The 18,669-nt window shown below is 41.5% G+C and overlaps 1 pseudogene; it reads right to left on the reverse strand.

Annotated features, from left to right (window-relative positions):
- On the reverse strand, positions 3,341–4,987 carry PPP1R10P1 (protein phosphatase 1 regulatory subunit 10 pseudogene 1; annotated as a pseudogene).

Raw genomic sequence — 18,669 nt, forward strand, 5'->3', positions numbered from 1 at the left:
TGCTGAGGCAATGGATAGGAAATGTCTCTGCCTCAGGCAATCCCAATGAATTTTTGCTTCCAGTTGTAACCAGTTTGCTGACAGAGCAATAGGCCAGGCTCCCAATATTGTTCAGGCCATGGCATATGTAGAAAGTCATAATTGTATTATGGCCAAAGAGATCCAGATATGTTCACTTCCGGGGCTCTGCCTTCTCCAGACCCCACACAGTTATGTTGAGAGCTGAGGGAATTACTATCTCAGCACATCCTCAACTCATCCTGCTCGGGCCCAGGGCTAGGGAAGCACTGCATGAGGTTTCCAGTAGGAGTAACTTAATTTTCTGTTTACCCCACTGCCCTTCAAACCTTCTCTATGCAATCTTCTTTCTCCATGTCTGGAAGAAGTCCTGGCAGCTCCCTTTGCTTTCCTAGGTACGTTTGGGGATGATCTTATTTTCTATTTAGCTTAAATCAAAATGCAATTCTCACCCATTTCAAAGCTTCTCCCCTTCCCAACAGTTCAATCCCAGCCTCAGAAACTTGCAGCAGGAAATAGGATGGGCTGTCTTTCTCTCCTTGCCCCTGCCCCCACCTTCCTGCTGTGACCTCCTGGTTGGAGGCCAGGTAGTGAGTGCCAAGGGCTTACTTGGCCATTGCCCTCCATATTTGGGGTTGCTGATGTCTGTGTAGCAGACATCCCAGTGCTGGCTCTTTCTCACCTGGGGCAGCAGTGCACCCCATTCAGCCTTTCTGCCAGGGTTGCCTCATTTGACCCAAGCTTTGCTATCTTCTGTGCTTACCCCTCAGCCAAAGGGAAAGCTTAGTCATGCTGCCTCACTGGTCGAAATGCAAGTGGGTCCTTCAGCCTTTTCACCCCTTGCCTTTCCATCACAGGCGGCAGGTATTTCGACTTCTGCACATGAAGGGAGGCCCCAGTCTTTGAATCCAGAAACACAGGACAAGCTCTTCAAAGGTCACTCCAGGCCCCTGATAGCCCTGGGGCTGTGTGTTCCCTGTGCTCAAAGCCCTTCAGCTGACTGAAGCCAATCTCATACATGTATCAGGATCAAGAGAAGAAACTGGGATTATATGAAGTCAGGTCGCTCACGAGGTTCAGTACTTTTTTGTCTATTTAATTTTTAAGAATTAAAACCAAGCTCTTATTTAAACTAGCAGCAATACTTATTGGCAGCTGCAATTAATATTCACAGGAGCCTATTATTGAAGACACGGTTCCGTTGCTTCTGACATCACTGCCCAAGTCTGTTTGGAATCTGGAGCAGCTCTCCTGGAGATGTTTCAGCCATCCTGGAGTTCAGAGACTCTCCTCACACAAAACTTTTCCCAGAGTCCAGGCTCGGCCTTTTACTACGATTTGTGCCCTGGATTCTGCAGCCTGTCTTATAACACATCATCAGAGTCCCTCAAGATTCTCAAATGATTACATTTCAAATGAGAGAATTTTAATGCCTTCCAGGAAAATGTAGATGTTTTTCTTAGACATACTCAGCAAATCCCATGCAATATATTGAATGACCTGCATGAAAATGTTTGGGCGGACATTTCCTCAGAGGGCAGGCTGCCACATTCCTTTCCCATGAGCACAGCTTTCTAGGTGGCACAGAGAGGTAATGCCCAGCCTTCTGTCTCCTGAGGCCGGGTTTTCTCCCATTGACACCCATAGCTGCTGCGAGCATGCAGCATGAGCACCCAAGATCATTGAGGCAGAACTGGTGCCAGCGGCCAGGGCATTGGAGGAATTACACTTTTACCTTCTCCCTGGATCTCCTGCACTGTGACTGTTTTGAAAATGTTACAGAGCCGGCTGCCCACTATATACAGAGGTGGAAAAACACAAAGGAAGAAAATAAAAACAACAAAAACCTTTAAAATCACAAACAAACAAAAAATCCAATCACCGCCCATTACCCAGATCTGGGGGCAAATTCCTTCACCAGATTTTGTACTGTGAGTGATGTTAGAGCAGAATGTTCTACTAGAGGCTATTAAAAGCATTGAGAATATCATAGAAATGGAATCATACAGTATATATCCTTTGAAGACCAGCTTCTTTCACTCAGCATGTCTTTGAGGTTCATTTGAATTGTTGTGTGTATCAATATAGCTTGTTCCTTCTTATATCTGGGTAATATTTCATGGTATCATGCTACAGTTTGCTCTTTCATTTACATGTTGAAGGACATTAGGGTTAATTGCAGTTTTTGGCAATTCTGAATACAGCTGCTATAAACATTATGTATGAGTATTTGTGTTCACACATTTTTTTGTGTGTGGTGAAGTATTTCTCAACCTTAGCACCACTGATATTTTGGGCAGGATGATTATTTGTTGGCAGGGGTGTGGGATTTGTCCTGTGCATTGTGGAATGTTTAGCACCAACATTAGATGCTTCCCCATTTGTGACAAAGAAAAATATTTCCAGACATAGCCCTGGGAGACAAAATTACTTCCAGCTGCAATTCTCTGCTCTCAGGTAGGTACCCAGGAGTGGAATTGCTGCTGAGTCACCTGATAAGTGTATGTTTGATTTTATAAGAAATAGCCAAACTATTTTCCAGAGTGTCTGAACCATTTTGCATTCCCATCAGCATTGTTGCTGCACATTCTCGTCAGCACTTGGTATTCTCATTTTTTTTCTTAGCAATTCTAATAGTTGTGTAGTGATTTCTCATTGTGCTTTTAATTGCATTTCCCTAATGGCTAATGACATTGAACTTCCTTTTGAATGCTTATTTGCCAGCTTTATATCCTCTGGAAAAACGTCTATTCAAATACTTTGCCATTTTCAATTAGATTGTTGATTTTCTTATTGTTGAAGCTTTTTACATATTCTGGATACGAGCCTTTCTTGCATAAGTGATTTGCAAATATTTTGTCCCAGTGTATAACTTGTCTTTTTAGTTTCTTAAGATTGTTTTATGCAGAGCAAAGTTTGTGTGTGTGTGTGTGTGTGTGTGTGTGTGTGCACCCCCATCCATGTGTGTGTGTTTTCCAAGGTAACCAGTTTTAGGTTCGCATGCATAAACGGTAATTTTGGACAGGAGACTGAGGTGCAGGATGAATCTCCTCAAAAAGAGTCTCCCCTTCAGCAGTCCAGGGATGCAGAATGTGTCCGGTCTCTCTCCTCCCCAGATAGAAGGAAAATATGCACATCAGTGCACACCAATGGTCAGAAAACCCCCAGGAACCCATGCAGGTGGGAAGTGAGGGGGATAGCTCCTTATCAGTTGGGGAAAGAGAAAAATGGACCTCACAGAAGTCATGATAGGGCAGAAGTAGCAAGATTGCAGTTTTCCATGAATATGAGGGCAGGGCAGGCCGGTGGACCCTAGGGCAAGAGGGACTTTGACACTCAGGTGGTAAAAGACGTAATTGTTCTCATAGTGGCATTGCCCTTTATCATCAAATGTCAGCAAACAGAGCAGGTTGATCTGTCTCCTTCATGGCTGTAGCTTCCATCTTGACCTCAGTGGCCCAGGGCCATCATGGCCAGAGTGCTCACGAGAGGGCAGACCTTGATGGTCATGGCCTCAGTGACCAGGGACATCATGAGGCTTGGGGTCACAGCATCCCCCATGTCCAGGACCTTCATGAAAAATCTTCACTGCCCCCACTTATGCCACCACCAGTACTTTCATGAAAGAGATGCTTATTGGTGATGATGCCCACCAACTCTAACAATGATCCCACCAGAATTTCTTCATCCATTTAGGGGTCCTACTCCAGAGAGACTTCCTCTGGCCCCTCAGAGTGGAGGAGGTGGGAAAGGTTCATTTTCTTTTTGGCCACCACAGGCTTTATGGTATGATCCAGGAATTGGTTCTTGACTCTCCCCTCAATATTAGGCCACCCTGCATGGGGTCACCTGGGCTATCCCAGAAGGGGTCATCTTTCACTGGAGGGATTGGGGGACCCAGAAGATGTGGATCAACTGCCCATCAGGGTCTCCAGAGCCTCCATAGAAACCAGGTATAGGTCGCCAGTGCCAGGGGGAAAATGTCTTTGGACCTCCCAGGGCCTCCTGGTAGGAAACGACGGACTATTCAACCAGGACCTCAGAGGTTAGGTGGCAAGAGCAATCAGTCATCTTATCTGAATAGTCTGGTTGTTTTAGAAGTTATTTTGAGGGCTGACTGTTTGGGCTACCCATGATGAAAGTAAGGCTCTCCTGGACATTGATGCCTTCTTCTTCAGATCTCAATAAACCCTTCCAGGTACCTATGCTTCCCAGAAGATTGGCCAAAACAGGAGGCAACTTAGAACTGTCTGCCCCATCAGGCCACCTGATCCCTCAGGCTCCAGGATCTTAACATATGGGTCTTATTCGTGGAACGCTCCTCATCTAGGAGGTTGAGCTCATAGGGTATGGGTTCATAGGGGTCAGGATCAGTTCATGAGGACTCACCTTGTCCAGGAAGAGCTTCTGAAAAATTCCTTCCTCCCACCTCAGGTTACATGTTTCACTCCTGGCTGTTGCTTCCTGAAGTGACAAGAGGTGACGAGAGCAGACCCAGGGACTAGGGGCACATTCAGGGCACCTTTACCTTTATGTTGTCATGACTCAGACACTGGCCCATTTCAAATGCAGGTTGGTCTGACAGTGTCTCTCAGACCCCTAGCCAAACTCCTTGATCTTATTCACATTTCTTTGTTTGGATCCATCTACTTCAAAATATAAATATTCTCTCAGTTTGTTCCTGCCATGTCACAATTGCCTTCTTCCAGTTTTTATTAATCCGTTGGCTAGGATCTTCAGGATTCTCTACTGGCTTAGCATCCAGAGCCCCTGACACCAAAGAAGCTACACCCATGAGCTCTGAGACTTCAACAGGGAGTAATGGGGTCCCTTGACAGTCTTTGTCTGCAGCCTCAGAAGGAGGTGCTGATCCTGGGAAAGAAATTTTGGCTGTGCTTGGTTCTATGCATGCTTTTCCTTCGACGGGGCTTGACTTGGCAACTGGGAGTGACAGCACCTTCTTAATTTTGAGTTTGCAGATTAGTTCTTCTGCTTAAGTCTGCTGTTGAGGCTCTCTATCACATTTTTCATTTCATTCATTGTATTGCTGAGCTCCAGAATTTCTGTTTAGTTCTTTTCTATTATTTCTCTTTGGTGAAGTTTTCATTTTGTTCATGCATTTTTTTTTTCTGATTTTGTTGAGTTGTCTATCTGTGTTCTCTTTTAGCTTGCTGAATTTCTTTGAAAACATTTATCTTAAATCCTTTGTCAGGCAATTTGTAGATTTCTATTTCTTTGGAATTTGTAACTGAAAATTATTGTATTCCTTTCATGGTATTATGTTTTCTTGATTTTTGTGTTCCTTGTAGTCTTGCATCTGTCTGTGCATTTGAAGGAGCAGTCACCTGTCCTAGACTTTATAGACTGGCTTTGGTGGGAAAAGACATTCTTCTGTGGATGGGTGTGAAGGCACGAGCTGCGTGAAGCATGGCAGCTCTGGTTCAGGGGGTGGTTGTAGGGTCACCTCCTGCTTTGAGGGGTGTGATAGCATAGACTCTGGTCAACTTCATCAGCTAAGATTGGTGTCAGTGAGGCCAAGGCTGTAGGTATTTTAGTGGTGGTGAGGGCTGCTTGAGTACTCAATCATGAAGGGTGCTGTGGTCCTCCTATTCTCTTTCCCCCTCTAGGGGGAAGTCATGGCTGAGGGGATATCTCTTGGTTCCAAGGTCAGGGCATGTGTGCGGTGGTGCTGGGGTTAGGGGGTGGATTCAGCCCTGGGAACATGGGGTAGGGGGCAGTGGCACCTCATTCCCTGGAGGGGGAGTAGTGGTATGGACTCTGGGCAAATCCATCAGCTGGTTTCACTGTCAGCAAAGAATGCAGAGATCCTTGGTGGCAAAAACTGTGGGTGTGGGCTGGGCACGGTGGCTCACGCCTGTAATCCCAGCACTTTGGGAGGCTGAGGTGGGCAGATCATGGGGTCAGGAGTTTGAGACCAGCCTGGCCAACATAGTGAAACTCTGTCTCTACTAAAAAAACTACAAAAATTAGCCAGGCATGGTGGCACGAGCCTGTAGTCCCAGCTACTCGGGAGGCTGAGGCAGGAGAATCACTTGAACCTGGGAGGCAGAGGTTGCAGTGACCCGAGATTGCTTCACTGCACTCCAGCCTGGCAGCAGAGCGAGACTCCGTCTCAAAAAAAAAAAAAAAAGCTGTGGGTGTCCACAGTGGTGGTGAGGGCTTCTGGGGTCCTTGTTGGGGAAGGCTGCTGGGCTCCTCTTGCTCTTCTTTTCCCTCATGGGGAAGGTCATGACTGAAGGAATCTCTTTTGGTGCTGAGCTGTGTTGAACTGGGGGATGAGATGATATAAGTAAAATGTTTTCTATGCTTTTTGATGTGGCCACGCTCAGTTTTATTTTTTTTTATTTGATTTGATTTTATTTTTTTTTGATGGGGTCTTGCACTATCACCCGGGCTGCCATGATCTCAGCTCACTGCAACCTCCACCTCCCAGGTTGAAGCGATTCTCCTGCCTCAGCCTCCCGAGTAGCTGGGACTACAGGCACCAGCCACCACGCCCAGCTAATTTTTGTATATTTAGTAGAGACGGGGTTTCACCATGTTGGCCAGGATGGTCTCAAACTCCTGACCTCGTGATTTGCCTGCCTTGGCCTCCCAAAGTGGTGGGATTACAGGCGTGAGCCACCACACCCGGCCCACGCTCAGTTTTTGTACTCCAGTGGTTTGCTGTGGCTTTTTTGTTGTTATATTCCAGAGCTCTCTTAGAGATATTTTAGTGAGTAGGTAGTTGTTTAATCATCATTTTTATGGGGGCAATAGAATTGGGACCTTCTACTCTGCCATGTTTCTGACATCATTTTTAGATGTCCTCTTTTGACCCATGAATTACTTGGAAGTCATTTTTACATTTCCAAGTATTTGGAGGTTTTTCCTGTTGCCTTGTATTGTTGGTTTCTAGTTAGTTCCATTATGATCTGAGAACATTCTTTGTATGATTTCAGTTCTTTCCAATTTGTTATTTTAAATTTATAATCCAGAATAGTGCCTGTCCTGGTGAGTGTTTTATGGCACTTGAAAATCAATATTCTGCTGTTGCTGGGTGAGTATTCTATAAATATCAATTAGATTCAGTAGGTTGGCTGTGTTATTCTGTTCTTATCTGCTCAATTTACATATCACTGAGAAAGCAGTGCTTCTTTTCCTTAACAAGGAACTTAATTCTGCTTCTGCCACCTGCCTGGGATCATTAGCAGTATGGTACTACTTCAATCCAGTATCTCAGATGAGATGGTTTGAAGCTAAGATCTAATTCTTCTGAAGCCTGTATACTTCTGTTTAATCATACTTCTAAGGGTGTGGTGTACCAGTTATTCAATCCTTATCAACCTCCAGTTTCTTTCTTCCTGCACTAATGAGATTGTCAATAGATATTTTGACTATTTAGACTCAGGAATGGGAAATGCCCATAAGGCAAGAGTGCCCACTAGGTAGATGTCACTTCGATTGATCTCTGTTCTCCCCTGTGTAGTGACTGGTAATTCTTCAAGTGATTCTCCTGCCTCAGCCTCCCGAGTAGCTGGGACTACAGGCTACAACTTTTAGCTCTCCAGTACCTTCAAGCATATGCTTTTACTTATTTTTGCTTTCAGTTTTCTAGCTGGTCTCAACTAAAGGATTAATCTGTATTATTAAGTCAGGGATCACTAGAAGCAAAAATATTGTTTTTAGAATTAAAACAAAATCAGCAAGATCCCATCTCTCCCTTAAAAAAAGAATAATCTCTTGTGGGATACAGTAAAAAGAAACAACATGAAGACTGTTAGGATAAAGTTATGAAGAGGATATTATGTGAGCACATATAAAAGATATTAATCCAGTTTAGGGTATAAAGTCTACATAGAAAAGGTATGAGGTATAGCCTTGAAGGACAAATGAGATTATCTTGATGAATATACAGAAGAATGTCTGTGAAGTGGAGTAGCATGTGCAAGCACATATGGGCAAGACGAAGCGTTATAGGTTCAGGAAACACAGACAGTTTATCCATTTTACTAATTAATTGAGTTAATTAATTGATTCAGTGAGCCAGTTACAATTGAACATCTAGTATGTCAGATAATGTTGGATATATGAAAATGAACAAAAGCAGATACAGAATGACCAAGATGTAGTACTAGGGAGTGGATTTACCCTCCTTGCTAGAACAACTAATAAACTGGACAAAATATATAAAGCAATATTTTTTTCAGATATTGGAAATATGGCAGCATAGGATAATGATCTCTGAGACGGGGGAAAAAAGAGGGCTCTGTGTTTTCCCCAGATTAATTTTTGAGAAGTTTCTAGACTGTAATGAAGGGAGAAAGGGTGACCCAAGCAAGCCCAGTAATCACCCTGATTTAAGAAGAAGAAATTGAGAGTCTGAGGAAACCACTATGGCTAGAGTTCATGGGATAGAGTACTAAAGAGGAGATAGCTGCTGAGAGATGAGAGAAAGAGATCTTCAGAGATATTCAGAAGGTTCTCTCAAGTATTCAGCTGAGAGCTGCTCAGCACCTGCATGTGACAAATCTATTGGATGCTGGGGAAAGAACTACCTGAAAGGAGCAGGGAAACAAAACCTAGGGCACACATAGAGCTGGGAATAGATTGTGTTCCCACCAACAGAGAAGAAAACTTCATACTATAATTCAAAGGCATAAAAGCATTCAGAACAGTGATGCTTATTGCCTCAGCGGTGTGAAAGAACTGGCCCTAGACTAAAGGCTTGTCTGGTCCTGCGTAACAAAGCTTAAAAGAAATTTTAAGAGAAAAAACTGCCTCCAAGTAACCTAACTATGTCACAAAACAATGCTTCTACTTAAAAAAGTAGAAAAGGAGGAGCAAATTTAACGTAAAGTATAAGCAATGAAATAATAAGGATCAGAGTAGAAATAAAGGAAATATAAAAGAGAAAAACAATAAACTCAGTAAGACAAAAAATTTCCTTTTTTGAATAGATCAGTAAAAGAGAGAAGACACAAATTAACAGTATCAGGAATGAGAGGGAGTGACACCACCACAGCTTTTATAGATATTGAAAGTGCAAAAGGAATTTTTATAAACCACTTGATGCAAATCAATTTGAAAACTCAGATAAAATAGACAAATTACTTAAAAAACACAAACTACAAAAGCCCACTCAAGAATAAATAGATAACGTAAATATTGCCACATCTATTGATGAAATTTAACTTGCAGTTAAAAACCTTTCCAAAAGCAAGGCACATATGGTTCCTGCGTGGATTTCTATCATATATTAAATGAAGAAATAATAATTTTGCAAAAACTCATCTAGAAAATTGAAGAGAAAAAACTTTCCAACTCAGTGTATGAGCCCAAAGACTTTAAAAGAAAAATACTAACCAATATACTTCAAGAATATAAATTCAAAATAATCTAAAATGTTTTCACTAAATCAAATTAAAAAATAAATGAAAATATTAATATACTGTTACCAAATATTATTTATATTAGGGTTGCAATGTTGAGTTAACATTAAAAAGTCAAACAATATAATTTACCTTATTAGTAAGCAGAAAAAGCTGTATGATCATCTCAATATATGCAGAAAATCACATGAAAAGTCTAACATCTATTCCTGGTAAAAATTTCCAACAAATTAAGAATAGAAGGGAACTTCCTCAATCTGAAAACAGATACCTACAAAAAGCCTACAATGAATGTAATTCTTACTGTTGAAAGACTGTATGCTTTTCCCCTAAGATCAGCAATAAAAAATGTCTAATCATACTGTACAGTACTGTACTGAAGGTTCTAGCCAATGCAATAAGACAAAAAAAAAGAAAGAATTAAAAGGCATTTAGATTGGAAAGGCAGAAGTCAAACAGCCTTAACACACAGATGACATAATTATATATGTAGAAAATCTTAGATATATGAAGACAGTAAATAAGCTACAAAATGCTGCATAAATGAATAAATTAGTTAAGCAAGATTGTTAAATCCAAGATCAGTATATAAAATTAATTACATACCCATATGCTAGCAATAGTCTTTGACATTAAATACTAAATTGTGATATTGGGCCTTTCCTGGTCTCCAGCCTGGTATATGTACATTTTTTTTCTTTCTTCTTTTATCCCCATATCATGTAATAAAAGTTATATTGGCTTTATATTAGAATGTTTGAATATTGCTAACTTTACTTCCTAGTATTTAAGTATTGTTAACTTTATATTATTAAGTTACTAATATTAGTAAAGTGACATCATTATTTAAGTTATGGAATATTGAGAAGAATAAATATCACCCCAAAATCTTGTGTCTTCTTCTGGGGAAAATGTTAATGTATTTTCATTTGTATGCAGAATACTTGTATCACGTTAGGATACAAGAATACAAGTATTCTTGTAATTGTGACCACACATTCTTGACATGTTATTGAATACTTGACATGTTTTTGACATATGTTGTTGACAGCAGACCTTCAACTGATGTCATTGTTATTGTATCTACCCCAAATTTATATGTTGAAGACCTAACCCTTAATATGATGGCATTAGGAAATGAGGTCTTTGAGATTAACTGGGCTTAGATAACGTCATGAGGGTGGATCCCCCATGATGAGATTAGTGCCTTTATAGAAGGGGAAGAGATACCAGAGCTTTCTCTCCTGCCATGTGAGGATACAGCAAGAAGGAAGCTGGCTGTCGGCAAGCTAGAAAGAGGGACCTCACCAGAGGAGGACAATGCTGGCCTTCTGATCTCAGACTTCCCAGCCTCTAGAGCTGTGAGAAATAAATGTCTCTTGCTTAGCCCACCCAGCCTATGGTTTTTTGTTATGGCAGCCTGAGCTTACCAAGACACCTGACTAGAACAAAAGACTGACCTCCCATAAGCAAGAATGAATTCTATCAGCAGACAGCCTTTGGACTAGAACCAGACATTGGCTCTCGCCTGGGTCTCTAGCCTACCAGCTCACCCTGCAGATTTTAGACGTGCCAGCCTCCATAATTGCATGAACCGATTTCTCAAAATAAATCTCTCTCTCTGTCTGTCTGTCTCTCTCTCTCTCTCTCTCAACATCCTATTGGTTTTGGTTCTCTGGAGAACTCTCACTACTGCAGTCACTTTGGAAAATAGTTTGGTGGTTTCTTAAAAAGTTAAACATCTACTCATCACATGACCTAGCCATTCCATTTACCTCAGGGAAGTAAAGCAAATGTCCACACAAGGACTGTCCATAGATGCTTATACCATCTTTATTTCTAATAGCCCCAAACTGGAAACACCCCAGATATTTATTAATGGGTAAATTGATAAATTGTGGCATATCCATGCAATGGAGCAGTACTCAGCAATAAGGGGGAAAAAACCATTGATATACACAACAGCATGGTGAATCTCAAGTAATTATACTGACTGAAAGAAGCCAGGAAAAAGAGTGCTCATGGCATGATTTATTTTATACACAATTCTAGAAAATGTAAACTTACCTATAGTGTCAGAAGCAGATCAGTGGTTGCCTGGATATGGGAGGAGGGACAGAGGTTACAAAAGAGCATGATGAAACTTGGAAATGATAGATGTGCTTATTATCTCGACTGTGGCAATGCTTTCGAATATGTCAAAGCTCATCCATTTGTACACTTAAATCTGTGCAGTTTATTGCATGTCAATTATACTCAGAAAAGCTGTAAATGCCCCCAAACAACAATGAAAACAAATCAGACACAGGCCATACCTTCTTGGTGTTCACTGTTTAGTGGGATCATTGCTAACATTTACAGGGAGCTTCCTATGTGCCAGGGAGAGCACTGTACAGCTCATTTCTTTTAACACACAGGGAGTATTATTATCTCCTTATTGTAGAGGAGGAAGGTGAAGTTAGCGAGTTAATTTTAGGCAACTTGCCTTAACTCACTAACTTCACCTTTCTAACCAGAGATGTGAGTCTCTGACTGCATAGCCATTCTCATATAGAGGTTAGTATAGGGGGAGAGCAAAGTATGAGGAGAGACAGGAGGGTAAATGAGCCTCAGGACAGAAGCCGAGGCCTGCATGCCAAGCTCGGGGCCAGACCTTCATCTTGCAAGTCCATGGCTTTGCCAAGGGCTGCCATCCATCAGTCAGATAAGATAGAATCAGCAAAAGTGGATCAAAAGAAAGGAAGGATAAAAGGATGGAGACAAGAAAAGGATGAAAGAAGGAAAGAAGAAGGGAAAGGAGAAAAGGAAAAGCTGTTTTATCTTCAGGGACTTTACATAATAATTTAAGCACAAAACAGCATACTTCTGGCTGCAGGGGACAAGTGGGTAGAGAGAAAACAGTCTCAAGGCTTGAGGCCTGGGTGGATGAGGCTGACTGGGTAAGGTTGGTTTGCTGAGTCTCGCCCTCATAGTACCTCCTACTTAGCCGTTCACATTGTTCATTTTCCATGTGTTAAGGATAGTGGGGAAAATTCACTCTGATGATGTACTGAGTCAGGAATGGCCTGTAATGCTGAGAGATGATAGGCAGAGTGGGAGTGGGGAAGGGGAAATCAGTCAGTGTTCCATGGAGTTTCCCTGGAAATGCTGAATGATACCTTGGGAAGAAAACCTTGTGTCCTCTGTGGTCATAACACAATGACACACAGATTAGGGATGCTCACCCACAATGGGTAATCCCACAGACCTCAGGCAGAATGACTCACACGGGGGCCAAACAGAGAAAATATCTCCATTATAGTATTTTATGATGGTTACACATTACAAATGTATTTAACTTACTGTAAATGTCATACGATTGCTCCCAAAAGGAATTCTTTACTTTTAGAAAAATGAATATACTTTTCTTTTTTTCTGAAGAGGCCAAAAGGTACAATCTGAATAATCAACTTAAGACAGAATGCTATGGCTTGAATGGGTCCCCCAAAATTCATCTGTTGAAGCTCTGATCACCAACGTGATGGTATGTGGAGAGGGGTCTTTGAGAGGTAATAGGTCATGAGGAAGGGGCCCTCACGATGGGATTAGTGCCCTGTAAAGAAGAGACACCAGATGACTTACTCTCTCCACCATGTGGGGCACAGAGAGAAGGTGGCCACACGCAAGCCAGGAAGCTCGCCCTCACCAGGAACCAAATCTGTGCAATCTTGGACTTCCAGTCTCCAGGACTGTGGGAAATAAATGTTGGTTGTTCAAGCCACCCAGTCTGTGGTATTTTGTTATGGCAGCCTGAGCTGACTAAGAAACAGAACTACTGCAATTAATTCTGGGAAGAATGAAAATGGAATAATTTCCAAACATCACAGCCCAACAAAGCTACAGAGAAGACAAAGTGACAAAGAAGAGATAAGTGTTCTAGTTGTAACTCTCCGACTAACATAACATGTGACTTTAGGCGAGGCTTCCCTTTTCTGGCTCTTAACTGTATTCAGCTATAATATAAGCTGGTTGGACTGAAATGTGTTGAGCCCCCCTCTAGTTCCTTCAGACTCTTCCCTTCTTTTTATTGTTGGTGGAGTTGTTATGAACTATAACTTTACCTAGCCTAAATAGGTGAATTATATTTGTTCAAAGAGACTGAACAATTAAACATTTAAAAAATTTATTTTTCTAATTGATCCATAATTATACATATTTATGGGGTACACAGTGGTGTTTTGATACATACAATGTATAGTGCGACCAGACCAAGGTATTTAGCACATCCATTATCTCAAATATTTATCATTTCTTTGTGTTAGAAACATTTAATACCCTCCTTCTAGATATTTAAAACCATATATTATTGTGAACTATAATCATCCTACAGTGGGATAGAACACTATAACTTACTTCTCCTATCTAGCTGTAACTTTGTATCCTGTAACAAATATCTTCCTATCCTTATTCCTCTACTTTTCCCAGCCTCTACTATCCTCTGTTCTACTTTTGACAGGAAAGTAAGTTCTTTCTTGAAAGTATGTTCTTTCTAAGAAATGTTATGAGATTAACATTTTCTTGGCTTCCACATATGAGTGAGAGCATGTGGTGCTTAATTTTGTTCTTGCACTTAACGTAATGTCCTCTAATTCCATCCACGTTGCTGTGAATGACAGATTTCCTTCCTTTTTATGGCTGAATAGTATTCCATTGTATATTTCACGTATTCTTTATCCATTAATCTGTTGTTGGATACCTAGGTTGGCTTGGCTACTGTGAACACTGCTGCAATAAACATGGGGGTGCAAATGTTTCCTCAAAATACTGATTTCCCTTCCTTTGGCTAGATTCCCAGTAATGGGATTGCTGGATTATCTGGTAGTTCTATTTGTAGTTTTTGAGGAACTTCCATATTGTTCTCCATAGTGGCTGTTCTAGTTTACATTCCCATCAGTAATGTATAAGAGTTCTCTTTTCTCCATATTCTCACCAGCATTTGTTATTTTTTGTCTTTTTGATAATAGCCATCCTAACTGGGGTGAGATGTTACCTCATTGTGGTTTTGGTTTGCATTTCCCTGATGATTAGTGATGTTGAACGTTTTTTCATGTATTTATTGGCCATCTGTATGTCTTCTTTTGAGAAATGTTTGTTCAGATCATTTGCCCATTTTATAATCACATTGTTTTTTGCTGTTGAGGTGTTTGAGTTCCTTGTACATTCTGGATATTAATCCCCTGCTGGATAAATAGTGTGCAAGTATCTTCTCCCATTCTGTAGGTTGATCTTTTCACTTTGTTGATTGTTTCCTTTGTTATGTAGAAGCTTTATAGCTTGATATAAACACATTTCTTTATTTTTTTGGTTTTGTTGCCTGTGCTTTTGATATCTTATTTGTAAAACTTTTTCTCAGGCCAATCTATGTTTTCGTCCAGTAATTTTGTAGTTTTGGATCTTACATTCAGATCTTTAATCCATTTTGAGTTGATTTTTGTATAGATGACAAGTGGGAGTCTAGTTTCATTCTTCTGTGTATGGATATCCAGTTTCCCCAGCACCATTTATTGAAGAGATTCTCCTTTCCCCAGTGAGTATTCTTGGCACCTCTGTCAAAAATTAGTTGACTATAGGATATGTGGATTAATTTCTGGGTTCTCTATTCTGTTCCATTGGTCTATATGTCTATTTTTATCCTAGTACCATGCTGTTTTAGATTCTCTATTTCTTTTTTCTTTTCTTTTTTTTTTTGAGACAGAGTCTTGCTCTGTCGCCCAGGCTGGAGTGCAATGGTGCGATCTCGGCTCACTGCAAGCTCCGCCTCCTGGGTTCACGCCACTCTCCTGCCTCAGCCTCCTGAGTAGCTGGGACTACAGTGCCCGCCACCATGCCCGGCTAATTTTGTGTATTTTTAGTAGAGATGGGGTTTCACCGTATTAGCCAGGATGGTCTCGATCTCTTGACCTCATGATCCGCCCACCTTGGCCTCCCAAAGTGCTGGGGTTACAGGCGTGAGCCACCGCACCTGGCCTGGATTCTGTATTTCTAAACAGTTCTCATTTATCTGCAAGTTATGCAATTTCTTAATTTCAATAACAAATTTTCCTAAACCTGGGGCTGACTGCTAGAGGTTTCTGGGGCTTTGGCACAATCATGAATGGTTAATACATTAAGTGCCTGAGGGCAGGTTTGGTTGCCAGACGGCTAGTTTTAAGTTTTTAAAGAACTAAAACACTAGGGCTGGTTCAGCAGTACCTGTACCTCTTCTGTCACTGAGAGCTGCTTGTGGTGAGCTCGTGCCAGCAACAGGTGTTCAGCCTCAACTGTCATCACAGGTAGGTGGGCAAGACCAATTAGGCAGTGCAAAATCATTAGTGTGTGTAATTATTCCAGCTTCCCTTTGAAAGGCTGGCCATGGGAGAGATAGATGGACAGTAGAGGGGTCTGGCTGTCTGGGTGGGTGGAGGAAGGTGGGAGTGTTTCATGGAATTTCACGGTCCCCTTGGCAAACATAACTTGAGCCATTAGACTGATCTCATCCATCTTGATGTTATTTCCCTCAGCAAGCAATAACCTCAGCTTTCCACGGCCTGTGGTTTCTGTGAGTTGGGAATGAATTCCCTCACTCTGAGTGAAGGTGTCCAACTGGAAACAGAAAAAGAAGAAGTATTTAGCCCATAAAGGCTTTTTGTCATCAGGGAGTGGCCATAATTTGGAGGAGTCCCATGGATAAAGGTCACTTTGGACACCAGTATAAGCTGGAGGGGCGATGAATCAGTCAGTCAGGCATTCTTAGAACTTATTAAGCATCCGCTGTGTACCAGGCCCTATACTAACTGTTTCATATACTGGAGATGAACAACTGTGGTTCTTATGTTCCAGGAATTTATATATTAACAAGAAGGATGAAAGCAGAAACTATTAGACTTAATAACATGGATTACAGGTCTTCGACCACCTTGGCTTATTTAAAGAAAACAGCAATTTCTTAAGGGTCAGCCATGTGTTATGTCTTAAGTATAACAGGCTTTGGGCATGCAGAGGAAAAAATGACCAATTTAAATGTTGGACAGTTGTGAAAAAGGGTTTACTGAGGAGATGACATTTAACTTTGGCCTTGAAGAGATAATAAGATTTTGAAAATATTTTAAGAAGTGAGTTGAAAAGGAAGGAAATTGCATGTATTCCATAAATAGTTATGGAGCATCTCCTCTGTGCAGCATGGTATAATATGCTTGAGATAAAATGTTCAGCCTATATAGCTGATAGTCTCTGTCTTCTTGGAATTTACATTCCAAAGAGGGAGGCAGATCCTATGGAATAAATGTCCAATTAATCATTTAACTACAATTCTGAGAGGTGCTACAAAGAAGCAAAGTCTGCTATGAGAGAAAATAACTGGGAGCCTGACTTGCTCTGTGTGGCCCGGATAAGCCTTAGGTCGATTCTCCAGGATAAGAAGGAATTAACCAGAATAAGATACTAGTTGTAGAGAGCATTCCAAACAGAGAAATTAGCATTTGCAAAGGCCCACAGTAGGCCAAGGAGGCAGCATTTTGCCTCTTTGGGATTTTAAGATTCTGAAGAGTATGCTTCTCTCTGATCTAATCACATTTCTAGGGCTCTGCCTCTCCCTAAATATACACTAGGAGACCTGGGTTCTAGATGCAGCCAAATCACTAAGCAGGTGCTAAGCGAAGATATTTCAGCTAGGAGTCTCTAATCATAAAATGACTTAAATAGATCATTCCCACAGCAGCTTATAGTGTTGTATATCTAAAATGGTTTTATAAACAGATGCCTAAGGAAGGATAGCTCCAAGTGCTTAGGTTGGTGCTTGCATTCTGTGAAATTTCTATGTTCAGATAAAAATTTTAAGTGGAATTCCTTTTTGTTTCCTAGCTTGACTCAGCAATAGGAAGCATTTTCAGGAATGCTTATGGTCATAAACTTTGCTTTGGTCTGATGATGTTAGTAGTGCTCCTATATCCTATATTCTGCTCCATCATTCCTTCCCTTCACCTGCAATCTAACGGTCATCTTAGTTTATTCTTAGACCTCCCAGATGTTCACCACTGCCCCCCTTCAAAAGACCTCCAGAAAAACTTGCTTATTAGAAAAAATCTGAGTTTGTCAGACTTACTGCAACATTAAAGAACACCGTCTATTTTTTTTTTTTTTTTGAGATGGGAGTCTTGCTCTGTCTCTCAGGCTGGAGTGCAGTGGCGCCATCTCAGCTCACTGCAACCTCTGCCTCCTGGGTTCAAGTGATTCTCCTGCCTCAGCCTCCTGAATAGCTGGTATTACAGGTGCCTGCCACCATGCCCAGCTAATTTTTGTATTTTTAGTAGAGACGGGGTTTCACCATGTTGGTCAGGCTGGTCTCGAACTCCTGACCTCGTGATTTCCCCCACCTCAGCCTCCCAAAGTGCTGGGATTACAGTCATGAGCCACTGCGCCCGGCCTGGAAGAACGCCATCTTGACAGAGTGTTCCCAGTATCTCAAAAAGGCTAAGTATGTTACAGGGTTTTAGAACTTGGACAGGGTGATGTTAAATCATGTCCTGAAAGGTAGAGAACCAGTTGAGATTGGGTAGAGTTGATGCATGTTAGCTTTGGGTTAATGAGACCAGTGAGGAGAGGTCTTGAAGTACGTCTTATTGAATAAGCTATTAGTCTTGTTAAGTAAGCTGTTTTTATTGGTTCACCATCTTATCTTTCAGGAACAAATATTTTCTGGAGCAAGTCACTAAGATTTGTTTTGCCTAGACACAGTCTTGTTTATTGATAAAAGTGGAGCATATATTTAGTCCCAGAACTATTTAGCATAAGTGTGAGAAAACATGTTGGTTTCATTTCTCACAGGTCAGTCAGCTAAAGGGGACACATATCTGTGTGGAAGGAAAATTATTTAATAAAACGAAAACTGAATAAAAATGAAAGCAAAGTAAAGTAATTAAGGCTACTGGTTTTTTCCAATTGTTCTTAGATTTTCAGCCTCCTTTTCGGATTCTTGCTGATTCTCCTTAGGCCTTACACCCAGTAAGCCCTAGGGGAAATGGGCTGAAAACCGTTGGGAGCTCTTACCTGAGTGAGTATCAGAGTCACCCACAGCTGTGGGGCACAGGCACTTTCTAAGTGTCTCCCCTTCCAGACATGTGTGGATCACCTCGGCAGGGCTCAGTGTGCTGGTGAAGGAGCTCCCAATGGGCTCCAGATGGAGAAACAGTGCCCTGAGTCTGCCAGCTGAGGTCAAAATGGAGACAAGGCCGGGCGCAGTGGC

Source organism: Homo sapiens, chromosome 11, assembly GCF_000001405.40.
Source record: "Homo sapiens chromosome 11, GRCh38.p14 Primary Assembly".
Classification (NCBI taxonomy): domain Eukaryota; kingdom Metazoa; phylum Chordata; class Mammalia; order Primates; family Hominidae; genus Homo; species Homo sapiens.